The sequence below is a fragment of the Homo sapiens genome, chromosome 7 (genome assembly GCF_000001405.40).
Source record: "Homo sapiens chromosome 7, GRCh38.p14 Primary Assembly".
In the NCBI taxonomy this organism is placed as follows: Eukaryota; Metazoa; Chordata; class Mammalia; order Primates; family Hominidae; genus Homo; species Homo sapiens.
The window spans coordinates 14730522-14743727 of record NC_000007.14 but is presented as its reverse complement, the minus strand read 5'-3'; the positions used below and the strand labels follow the sequence as shown (position 1 = coordinate 14743727).

The 13206-nt window shown below is 38.3% G+C and overlaps 1 protein-coding gene across 25 annotated transcripts in view, besides 1 other annotated feature; it reads left to right on the top strand.

Annotated features, from left to right (window-relative positions):
- Positions 1 to 13206, top strand: part of DGKB (diacylglycerol kinase beta) — an 829810-nt gene that overhangs the window by 231131 nt on the left and 585473 nt on the right. For all 25 annotated transcript variants that reach the window (XR_001744571.2, NM_001350722.2, NM_001350711.2 and 22 more), the window contains one exon: positions 7534 to 7687. Coding sequence is in view for 24 of the 25 variants with exons in the window: in NM_001350722.2 (NP_001337651.1) it covers positions 7534 to 7687 (154 nt within the window). In the remaining variant the exon portion in view is untranslated. The remainder of the gene's footprint in view (positions 1 to 7533; positions 7688 to 13206) is intronic.
- Positions 3225 to 3741: an enhancer, noted in NCBI's record as "H3K4me1 hESC enhancer chr7:14779612-14780128 (GRCh37/hg19 assembly coordinates)". NCBI's record gives its function as "activates a minimal SCP1, AML or CMV promoter by ChIP-STARR-seq in primed H9 embryonic stem cells {active_cell/tissue: H9 hESC(primed)}" and the evidence as "EXISTENCE:reporter gene assay evidence [ECO:0000049][PMID:30033119]".

Genomic DNA, 13206 nt, shown 5'->3' with positions numbered 1-13206 from the left:
TTAATTGTGATTGATAGCATACACTCAAACATTAGAATTTTAGAAATCCCATAAAATTCTGGAACATATGTTAGCATTATTCACTAAAATATAACCTGAAGAAAATTAAACATCATTTTGGAGATCCCATGTACCTAACCATGTTAAATTATTCTGTTTACCTCTCTTCTTCTAGATGCTCTAGGGACCCTCTGTAGCATCCAAAAGCTAGGGGTCAGGAAAGACAACCTTGAAGCTGAAATTTGATTTGGGGAAGCCTGTTAAATGTTAGAGGTTTAAAACACTTGATAATTTGAAATACAATCCCAGTTGGTTATTTTGTTAAAATGATGACTCAAAAATTTTAAAATAGGGAAAACCTTTACTCATCAAGAGGAAGGACTTAGCTTTCCAAACAGTTTGTCTCCTGTCTTCTCTTTCTTTTCCTTGGCAGTCTATTTACAAGGCACATGAAAATCTTTCATTATTCATTAATATTACATAGAAATCTTCAACAAGGGAGAGAGAGAGCCAAATTTTACCCTTACATTAGTTTACTATTAATCCCAATTTTCTAATGAAACCTTATAGACAATTCTATCCAATCTAAGCCAGTTGGACCATGAGGTAAGATTCTTAAAAACCTTTTATAACCCTTTACACATTTTGCTAAAGAACAGATTAGTACCTTAAGAAAACCTTGTTGTGCTTTTATTTCATTGCTCAGTTTACAGAAAAAAACATATAATATCCTTTGAGTTTAGTCAATGTTCATACACAGGATTTCTTTTGCAATATTAAATTTAGAAACCTTCCACAACTATTTAAACCTTTAGCTTGACCTTATCTAATTTAAAACAATCCTTTAACCCTAGGCAAAAAGTTACTTGGATTTCCATGCCTTCTTACAATCTTTTCCTGAAAACACATTTTACTCTTCTTACACACCTTGCATGTCAATCTATTTTCAGTGGTGGTCTCAATTACATGTTATAATGGTAACTCTTAGCAATTTTAAACTTTAATGTAAAATCTGATAAGTTGTTTTAATTATGTACTAGGCACCAATAAAGTTTGATTCCTTCTAGCCTGTTCAAGGGCTTGGTTAATTCAGTATGTCCTCAGGCCTTACCAAGTTGTAAAGCAGGCAAGTTGAACAGTTCTCTAAGGCCAAAGAAGCAGTTTACAACCTTAAAACATTTAGCGAACCTAGTATCTGACTTCCATAATGTAGACCACCTATTTAAATTTTAATGACATTTGAATTTTACCAATAATCTTTAAGACTTTTTATTTCTCAAAGATTAAAGCTACATGAACTAAAAGTTACTACAGCTTGTATTTTCCTTGAAAAAATATTTGATCTAATGCTTATTTTTCTTTAGGCCAATTAATTAGAGTGCTTTTATATAAAAATCACATATATAACTACATAGACAGACAGAAGAAGATCCAGTAGTTGTAAGATTTTTCATTTGCCAATCTCCTAATTGGATAATTGGCCTGAGGGTGGAGCCCTTCAAGAAACAGAGGTAACAGTACCTAATAAGCAGATACAGGTGGAAGACAAAAACAGATTTTGAAAGGGATCTATCTGCCTCTAATTACTGGGGTTCCATGAGGAAAACAGAGGTTTCTCCAAAAATGGAATACATTATATCTTTTCCATTTTTCCCAAGTAGTCTCTGTTCATCAGAAATTATCTTAGGGTCTCTCATGAGTTCATTAAGAGTGGCAAGATAAAATGGAGGAAGACAATTCAGTTGACTGGGGAAAAAACCTTTCTCAGAAAAACAAGATCCATGAAGAAAAAAACATAAAGGTCTTTTAAATATACCTATAGCTTGGATATCCACTTTTAATTAACTTGAGCGTTCTTTAAGAAAATCCTTTTAAATCCCTAGCTACCCAACTTTAGCCATGCCAGATGACTCATATTTCTGGCTTTTGAACTTTACCAACAGTAACCTTACAGGTGAAACCAACAAGCCCCAAAAAGTTATGATTTAACTGCGAGTATACAAGGTATTTTCAAAGGGGTGGTAAGCAGTTTTTACAAAAACTAGAACGTCTAAGTGTAGCTCAGAGAAAGGAAGATTCACAAAAGAAAGCTAGAAGCTGTTCATGGAGCAGGAGAGAATCAGCAAATGGTAGAAGTCACACAGGTATTTGCCAGAAACTACTCATTCCCTAAGCCAGGATTGATCCCAGGCTGCCACCGTAAAATAGCGGAGACAAAAACAACATACTAGGCAGTTTGCCAGGCTGACTTGAATAGTGGGCTATGGGGTCCTAGGTCCTTATCCCATCCTAAGGTACTCCTCTTTCTGACAGAACCATATAGAAAGACATGCAGAGCACAACAGATTGGCTACAGCTTGAGACCAACCTCATAAATACTTTTTGATTAATCAAAACTTTACGGAGAATATATCCCTACCATTCCTTTTACTGGTTTGCACAGGGAGAGGGAGGCCAAAAGTCTGACTGTTAAAAAATATTTTATCTCTTTGCCAGCATGTCAGCCTTCTGGGTTCCCCTCCCCTGAGCTCAATTCTAAGCCAACCAGTTTAAGGGTTGAGAAATAAACTTTTCACAGTTTGAAGGATGCATCCGAGAGGAGTGTCCTGTAGTATGGAGACAGGATTAACCATCTGTGAAGAGAGGACCAAGGGGGACAAAGAAGGCATTTTTTTCAAAGGAGCCCCCCAGCTCAGAATGCATCTGTAAGGTGCACAGACTGAAGACGAATGGCTACTCATCTAGAAAGAGGAGCAAGGCATCCCTGGTTCCTTTCTCTTCCTATCGAATGCCCAGGGTACATGAGAGAGAGAAGGAAAAAGCTTCCTCTTTCCTTCTTTTATCCTTATATCCCTGAGGCCTGGTGACCACAACAGGGTGCCACCCATGGGTGTCAATGCAGCTTTCACTCATGTTAACAGTTGGGCCTAGGGGGTGGGATTATCCGCACTTCCCCGTGCACTCACTGCCTTTCCCCCTGCTATAAGTAGCCTTTGAGTTCCCTACACCTAATTTATGCCATGGATACTAGTATGACCTCTATCCATGATATGGGAGGCTTGGCTTAATCAGCAGGAATTAGTCATGCTCATCTGTGGTGTTTGCCTTTTAACTTCCATTGTTGTCTGCCTCTGGATCCCTAAGATCCAGTTTTCTTTCCTAGGGCTTCAACCCAAAGCTTGGAATTGAGTTTGGGACAAAAGAATTGCCTCCTTGTCATAAGCCAAATGCTAAGGTGAAGCTCTAAAATTGGGTCCTCTCAAACAAGGGAGAGAAAAGGGTGTCCTGTGAATTGGAGTCCTGGCCTAATAAAACACTTTTCAAGAAAAATCCTCTGGCATTGAGAAGCCCCCTGTACTCACAGGGCTGTGTTACTAGGTTGGTGCAAAATCAACTGTGGTCCCTGCCAATCTAGGTAATAGCAAAAACTGTAACTACCTTCACACCAATCCATCAACTCCTGACCTTGTGGAGAAAAAAAAAAAAAAAAGGCTTAAGCGTAGGGCAGGGAAATGCCTGGGGAAGAAACCTCTTGTTCTTATGCAAACAGAGAGAAACTTAATTGTTGTCCCACTGAGCTGGACTCCTTGGCCAAGGGAGGGGAAGACTGTATGGATGCATGGCGGGGAACGCTGGCCAGCTGTCTGCACGGGGCCTCTAGCCCCCAAGATTGCCCTGGGGCCTGGGCAGCAGCTGCGGCTCAGTCCCGCCCTGCATGGCTGTTGGATGCCGAAAGTACATACAGCAGACACGCAGACACACGGCCATGTGCCCCAGCACGGCGGGAACGTGGGGGAGGGCAGGGAGCCACCACTTCCGCATCTATCCTATGTGGCAGCAGTTGGGGTTGGGGTGGAACACTCCTGATATTGTAAAAGAAAAGATAGGTGCCATTACAGTCCTGGGAAAAAAAAGAAGAAAAATGCCATAGCAAAGACTGGGTTGGACTGAGGCCGACATTCCCAAACCCAAGAGTGACGCAAGGGGTGCAGTTTCCTCTGCCTTCAGAAAAAGTCTGAGGACTGGAAGGCCCAGAAACGAAAGTGAAAGAGATTCTTGGGTTCGCATTTTACTCGCTCTTCCTCATATCCCCATATAGGCCATCAAATGATGCAGGAATTTTTGCTTCTTAATTCAGCTAAATCTGGGTGCTTGTCTCATGATCAGGAAAAATTAAACATGCGGACACATTGAAGGGTAAAGAGGGTGGAAGTTATTAAGAGAAAGGAAAGCTCTCAACAAAGAGAGGGTCCTGCATTCGGGTTTCCACCTCACAAATTGAATACCAGGCCACCACACATGAGCTGAAGAGGCCAAGATTCTCCCCTGCATAGAGCATGAATTTCTGGTAGCTCCACCCCATTTTTCCAGTGCACATGTGAGCCCTTAGTCTGAGCCACCCCACACTGATTTATTTCCCTTACTGAGCATGTGTTATGGGACAGAATTTTTCACCATGGGCGTGTTTAGACAGGCCTCCTGTGCACAGTGACCTGGGCAGGTTGGAGGTTCTCCGGGGACCTTCCCTTACCTGCCTAGACATTTGTCTGTGTCCTGCCTCTATCGTTAGATATTAAAGTTCATTTTTCCTTTTGGTTGGTTATTTTTCTGGCTTTCATCGTTAAATTACAGGCAGCGATTTTAATGAGCATCGACATGGGTTCTGAAAGGCTCTGTAAAGAGCATACACTTGGGACTTGGCATATTTTTCCTTCAAAAGAGCAGATAAATTCTTTGCCCCTTATCAGTTAGGTGGTGAGTGGAAGTATTAGAATTTGAAACACAATTGCTTTATTCTGAACTCTTTGTTTTTGTTTGTTTTGTTTGTTTGTTATGTTACCAAGTTAAAGTCTTGGCTTGAAAGAGCTGTTTTAAGGTATAATTATGGTCCAAAAGCAGATCCAGAGAAAAACTTTCACCAATTTCTAGTCCTTTACTACTTCTGGAAGTTCACATTTTATTACCAGCTTTTAAAGCAGCAACAAGGACAACAATGAACCATGCATGGTTTGTTAAATGCATATGAAAACATGTGAAGTAATGTGGCTTTGAGGCTTCTTCTTCAAATATTGTTTCAAATTATGAATTTTTAAAATGGATATTCTTTACACAAAAATTTATTTAATTACATACAATGTTTACTATGTGCCAGATGTCATTCAGATGCTTTAAAAATAGTAAATAATATGTTCCTCCTAACAAATCAAGAAGTAGGTGCTATTATTCTAATTTTATAGATGAAGAAATTGAGGCACAGAGAGCTTAAATTGTCCACAGTGACACAGCTTGTGTTGGATTCAAGAGTTGATCCAGGTAGTCTGACTTCAAAGACCATGCCCCTTATCATCTGTTATGTTGCTAAACAAAATACTGATTATGGAAGACCTAGGAACAGAAGGAAGCGCTACCATAAGTAACTTTGCTTCTAACCACAATGCTTGTGAATATTTTCATCCCACAGACTTCCTGCAACTTTGCAATAAAATCAACTCCTGGTTCCTCATGGGCCTTCATACATGTTGAAGATTAGCTATCAATTTTGGTCACTCACCCAAATGAATGTGGAATACTTCTCTTTAATAGGTCATCTCTAAGGAGCTCTCTTAGTAAGAGTAGGTGTTCCTTTTCAAGGAAACTATTTGGATCCCATGTCTGACTGTTGGCCTAATCGCCATGTTTTTAAGTGTTGGCTGAATTCATTGTAGCAAATTGCTTTTTTGGAAGTACTTCTCCTACCTGAGGCTATTCTTCACATTTTTTATATTACTCAGAGTTTTTAGTTATATAGTTCACTCTACTACTAGAATTGACAATATTCTTTTTTTTTTTTTTTTTGAGACGGAGTCTCACTCTATCGCCAGGCCGGAGTGTAGTGGCACAATCTCAGCTGACTGCAACCTCCACCTCCCGGGCTAGAATTGACAATATTCTATGGTGGTGGTAGTAATTTATGAAATATAGAAGAAAATGAAGTCTTTTTACTGCCAGCAAAATAAATATCTGAAGTGTCCTTGTGAGAATCAATAAGCAAAGTGAAACTAAATAAAAAAGTTAGATTAAGGTATAGGCAGAATCTTGGGACTATTGATAAATAAAGTGTTTGGTTTTATTGCCTGAGATTCTATTAGGTAAAAAGCAAACATCGTATGTAAACTTAATTGGCACATGATCAAATCTATAAAAATTTACTATGTCTAATGATATTCCTGAATGTCACATTTAATATTAGGTTTGTCCCAAATAATACAATAATAAATTCGGTCAATCTCCATGTCTTTCCCCCAGTATTATTACATAGGAAAAACAAACTTTCTATTCCAAAGTTAATTTTATTCTTACCTGCCAGCAATGTGAACAAAACTAAGAGCATCAGCCAGCCAAATTTCCTCTTGCATCTCAGCACATTAAACTGGGTAAAAAAAAAAAAAAAAAAAAAAAAAAAAATTGGCCTTCAAGGGCTACCTATAAAGCCCATCCCTTGCACTCTCTTGATCTGGACATATGTGGCTTTATTCCAGCCTCTTCTCTGTAGGTCTTCTAGTCCTTTCAAATGCCCTACTGGATAGAACCCAAGACCACTCCACTGGCCTTCTCCTCCATGTGGTCTACATCTGTTTCCCAGAAAATACTCATGCACCATTGTTCCTGCAGTCCAAAACGAGGAGTTTTGGCCAACTTAAAATAGTACCATTTTCTTGCCTTTGTCCCCAAAGCACCCATGTGCTTGTCCTCAATTTCCTAGGCAGAGTCAAATCCTGGTGCACTGCCTTCATCTGCAAGGAGAAACCAAGCTCTTCACTATGGCTCCTGTGAAACGCTCTCATTAAGCTTGAGGTTGGAAGTTGTCTTCCATCACCATTTCCGCTAATGGGCATGGAGAACCTTAACACCACCACAATTCTCTCCAAATAAATGTCTAATCATTTATATAGTTCTGCAATGAGTATCAGAGAGTAAGATCTTAAAATATGTTTCTTTGGAAAGTCTGCGTATGAAGTTTTAGGTTTATCAATAGAGCTTGGCATTTAGTTGAAACATTAAGGTTAACCTCTTTTTACATTGTCAAAAGCGATAATCACCATTAGTGACAAGCAAAAAATATGGAAAATTCCTTTCTCTCTGAGTGCCTGCTGTGTTTATATGACTCTGTATTGGCTTGTTCACAGTGATCGCCTGATTTAATCACTGCAACAACTATGTGGGGTGGGATTATTATTCCCAGTTTAGAGAGGAGCAAACTAAGTTTCAAACAGTACATTTTTCAAGGCATTACAGATACTGTGGAAATAGAAATATCTAACTAGAAACTTCTTCCTCTTCCTGCTATGCCATCACAGGTAAGACAAACATATCCCATTGCCAGTGTTAGCCCAGGACGGCCCACCCTATTTCTCAAATAGGCACTTTCCATTTGTTAAACTTGGATATAAAAATGGTTTGAGGTCATTTCTACTTCTAATGATTTTGAACACAGCACAGAATTTTAACATTTGGTTGGATCTTAAAATACATGTTTACATTTTTTTTTTCCAGACAATAGATTTTGAAGGTTTCAAACTATTCATGAAGACATTCCTGGAAGCCGAGCTTCCTGATGATTTCACTGCACACCTTTTCATGTCATTTAGCAACAAGTTTCCTCATTCTAGTCCAATGGTAAAAAGTAAGCCTGCTCTCCTATCAGGCGGTAAGTTTACTTACTTTAAACATTTATATAGTACAAATTTCAAAGGCTAAATAAATATCTAGTTATCATAAAAGATGAATGATGATTTGCATAAAAATTGTTTTGTTACAGGGTTTAGACTTTTACAATAAGATTGTGTGACTCATTTAAAATGTTTCCAGTAAAATTATAGCTAATTAGAGAAAATATAATTTATCCTTATCTATCACTTGCTTTAGAATTCTATGTATAGGTAATAATTTGAAGACATATTTCCATCAAATTTGGAAAACTGCTCTTGTTAAATAACTAGATACGTATAGATTGCTGAGTATTTGAAAATGTGGTCACAAAGCAACTATATCTAAAAAGGTATAATATTTAATATCTATTTTGCTAATTGCCAATATACTTTCACATGTTTAGATTTGTAAGCTCAGAACAGAGATTTGATTTTTCTTTTAGATACTGTAAATTTGTGTCACCGTAGAGATGGTGATTCTCTCATTATGGGTAGCTTTTTAGAGATGCATACTTACATTAATACCTGTTGTATCAATCTCCCTCCAGTCAAGAAAACAGAGATTTCACTGTATTACCCAATGTAAAACAGTGTAATTGGTTAAGCTGTTTCAAAGGATTGAAAAAGCAAAAAGAGAAGACAGGTGATGTAGATAGACTCAAGGAAACATGTGCTGCCCTTAGATGGCAGTAATCACCACCTAGAAGCCCTGAGGAAAGGATTCCTTGGAGCTAGGATGAAATTCTGAGGTGAGGGGTTGCCTAGCAAACCTAGCCCTTGGACTTTTGTGGAAGTGATACTTCCTGGCTGCCTCTGGTAACTGGGGAATTCAAGACTAGTCTATAGCCCAGGAACTCAGACCTCTGAGGAGGGTGCATCACCGTGGCCTGTCCCAGATTGCTTAGCAGGGAGCTCATTGTGCTTTTGTTGGTGTGGACATGAGCTAGAGACTAGAGCCTACACTGCTTTAGAGTCTGCAGGTAGAGACAACATGCTACCGCCACCGGGCTGAAACGCTGCAGAGATTCAACAGGAGCAGCAGGTTCTCTTGCTGGGTCCAGCCCCTTCTCCCGCGACTCCCCACCCCACCGCCCCAACCCCTGTGCCTTCTCGTCTCTCTCTAGCGCCCTCTATGGATAGAACAGGAATCCACTGGCAATGAAGAAATGTCTTCAGCAGTGTTTCTCACTCTTTGATCACAGGACTCTGTGAACTCTTAAAAATTGAAGACCTGAAGGAACTTATGTTTATGTGGATGATATCTATTGATATTTGCCATATTAAAGATGGGACATTCCAAAAATAACAAGAATCAAACCACTACCTGTTAACAAAAAATAACCCATTATTATGAAAAATAACTATTTTCAAAAACAAACAAAAAATAGTAAGAAGGGTAGCATTGTTTTGCATAATTGCAAATCTCTTTAATGCCTGGCTTCATGGAAGACAGCTGGGTAAATTACATCTGGTGCTATGTTTCTGTTACTGGATCATATGTCATATAGCCTCTTGAAAACTTCACTGTACATTCAAAAGAGAATAAGAGTAAGAAAAGCAAATAATATCTTAATACCGTTATGAAAATTATTTTGACCTTAAAAATCTCCTGCAAGGAGCTCAGGGATCCCAGGAGAGCCACAAGTCTAGCGAGTCCCAGCTCTAGTATCACAAAGTAGAATATAGAATTGTTGGTATAGAGGCCGGACACGGTGGATCATGCCTGTAATCCCAGCACTTTCGGAGGCTGAGGTGGACAGATCACAAGGTCAGGAGTTTGAGACCAGCCTGGCCAACATGGTGAAACCCCGTCTCTACTAAAAATACAAAAAAAAAAATTAGCCGGGCATGGTGGCAGGCGCCTGTAATCCCAGCTACTTGGGAGGCTGAAACAGGAGAATCACTTGAACCCAGGAAGCAGAGGTTGCAGTAAGCCGAGATCGCATCACTGCACTCCAGGCTGGCAACAGAGCGAGACTCCATTTCACACACCACACACACACACACACACACACACACGTGTTGGTATAGAGATAAGTTCAATAATGGACATTCTGATAAATAAAAATGCAAGAACATGTAATTAAGAAATAGATGGTTGAGCCATAAATGAAACTTAGACAATATGATGAAGAGTCCATAATATTAAGCCTTATGTTGTACTGCTTCCCTTCCTTTCTTCCTTCCTTCTTTCCTTCCTTTCTTCCTTCCCTCCTTCCTTCCTTCCCTCCTTCCCTCCCTCTCTCCCTTCTTTCTTTCTTCCTTTCTTTCTTTCTTTCTTTCTTTCTTCTTTATTTCTTTCTTCTTTATTTCTTTCTCTTTCTCTCTTTCATTCTTTCGTTCTTTTGTTCTTTCTTTCTTTCTGACACAGGGTCTCAGGCTTGAGTGCAGTGGCATGATCTTGGCTCACTGCAACCTCTGCCTTCTGGATTCAAGAGATCCTCCTGCCCCAACCTCCCAAGTAGTTGGGAACTACAGGAGCATGCCAAAATGCCCAGCCAATTTTTGTATTTTTAGTAGAGATAGGGTTTTACCATGTTGACCAGGCTGGTCTCGAATGCCTGGCCTCAAGCAATCTGCCCGCCTCAGCCTCCCGAAGTGCTGAGATTACAGGCATGAGCCATGGCGTCTGGCCTTCCCATCTATTAATGATGTAACTTATTTTTCATAAAGTAATCACATGTTGATAGAAGCTTTTTTAAAGCAAGTGTACATATTCCACATGATAGCCCTTTAAGATGTATGGTGACTAATATGTTTATCATCATTTTTCTCTTCTTAGAAAATATTTTTAGATTCTTAAATAATTCTCTTTCAATCATGAATTGAGAGGCCTCACCGCACTTGCTGTTTTTCTCGGAATGAGTTTCAGTGGATCTATTCTTAATGTGTAGTATTACAGTTTAATAGTGTTTTGGGTTGGACATTTTAAAATGATTCTAGAAATTAAAACTTCCTTGTTCTCTGCTGCATGCTATAAATGTATCACACACATACCTTAAATTGAATTAAATAAGAAAGTTGTCCTGTATTTAATTCTATAAGATACAATATTGTCCTTGAGTTTTGAGAAAGAAGAGAAAATATTTCTGGATAATGTTGTCTGTCTAAATAACTGTATCACATATGGAAGAAAGAGAACAATTCTGATAAATTAGGTGATTTTGTAAGAAATTCAAACCTAAAACTTCCTTTTCTTCTAATAGCCTATATTATCTACTGAATAGAAGATGCCAGATTTATTAGGGGTAAAAATCAAATCAGGTTTCAAAATGGAAAAAAAAAGGAAAAACAGATTGTACTTGAATTTGGGAAAATTACGCATTCTACACAGACTACATGAAAGGAATATGGGCTATGTAGTCCTCATGCAGCAATGATTAATTAAACTCTGATTCCTTTTCAAAGCTTGGCCTCCACATTTTACAACTAAGTACATAGTGTCTTGTCCAGGACTATATCTAACCCTATTTTTTTTTCAGACCCACCTTTGATAGTTATTTTTTTTTTTCCTGAGGAAGAAGGAACAATAGACAACAATAAAATTTTCAAGGCTGAAGTAGCCTTGACTCAGAAACTGACAAAAGAAATGCCTTTCCATTCATAGAATCTTGCTTTGCAATAATCTGTTATCTAATGTATAACGAGGTGTTTTTGTGGCTGAAAAATAACAGACTTTTGAACAGAGAGGGGCTACAATCTGGTTTGGTTTATGCTGTTATAGTTCACCATATTTCATTACCACAGTTCCAGCAGGAATAGAGTAGGTAGTCTTTTACTCTATACAGCAACTAAAAAATAAGGGCTTCTCAAGAAAAAACAAAACTGAAAAGGAAAAAAAATTATGCTCACTACTGAATGATAATCAATTACAGGATACATAGTAAAAGCAAAACATTTAGTTTTTATAGAATAAAAATTTAAAAATAATTATAAATAGGCATAAAGGTTGTATGTATTTATACATATGCATATGTATAGCTGGGTTTTGTTTGACTGTAATATGTAATGATCCATTTGGCATTTCATGAAGAAGATGACTTATTTTTGTAATATAATTTGTTGTAATATAAGTGCCTCTTATCACCTATTTAAAAATGATGTCACTACTACTGTTTCCATATTTGACTTTTGATTTTTGAAGATATCGCTAATGCATTATCTCTCCAGCTTTTTCATACCACTTCTGTGTCATTGCAAATGTCAGGTCTCTAATCTCTCGTCTCTGCCAGTTCAATGACCAATTTCTGATATTGCTTCCATCCTTGGGGCCCACCATTTGTTAATTTCCTTCTTTATACACTTTTAAAATCAGTTGGAATCTTTCTTTTTCTACAACATGGTTGCAGAAAGATGGTTGAGGCTCACAACCTCAACCGTCAATCAAAATTGTCATCTCCCATATCAGTCCCTACAACTTGAACACTCAACATAACCTAAGAGAAATTTAATAAATATGCAGATATCTGTCACTATAAATTCCTACTACCCGATGTTTATATGACCTTAACACTTCTTCAGTTTTTTTAAAACAATGTAAAAATTATTTATTATTGGCACTGTATCCGAGATCAATTATGTTGATTTTTTAAACTTTTTAAAGTTTATCTAAATGTCTTCTCATTTCAACACATGACTTTTTTTGCATCATATAACAAATTGGCACTGTCAGACATAACGTACCTCAATTACTCCCCACACAACCTACACAGCTCACAAATAATATTTACGTACTGTATTTTAGATGGAACACTTTGTCTGGATGTCCAAATCTTTCAAACAGTTAGATACCAAACTAACTGTGTTTGAAAGTTCATTAATTAGATTCTGCACAAACCTGCTACTATTCCTACCTTCTATTTTGGTGAATAGCATCCAAGAATCTATCCACTTCCCAGTCCTAAAATACTGGAATCCTCCCACCTTCCGCTGCGTCACTTCCCATATTTAGTTAATCACAAAATACTCTCTAGTACTCATTGTAACTGCTTCTTCCCAAACGTTCTGCCAGTGTCATAGTTTAATTCATCATAAACTATCAATTAGCAGGCTCTCAGAGCAGGCCCTGACTTCCCATCTCCAAAACGTTCTTTCAAACAGAAGCCTGATTATATTACTCCTGGGTTTCTAAATTTCAGGCCTTCACTGTCAACTGTCAGAGCATTTTTTAATTAAACTTATTTTTCAAGCAAACTTAAATCCTCAATATGTAAAGCTAGCTAAAGCAGAGTTGCTTTAGTGAAGGGCATGGGTGCTGGAGATACATGAGTACATGGAGTTGCAGTCATCCCCACCTTTTGAGACATTCATTCCCACCTGAAGTAACCTTTATGAGACTCCAGGATCCAGAGTCACAGTGAAGAAGGTGATAAAATCAGAGTTCCATGGCCATGAAGCACCATGTCACGTAGGCTATAGCATCTGCCTACAGCCCTATTCGCTCCATCTCCCTGCCCTATGCACCCCATATCCAACTATTTGCTGTGACTTAAACCTGCTTTTCTCACTCAGGACTGAG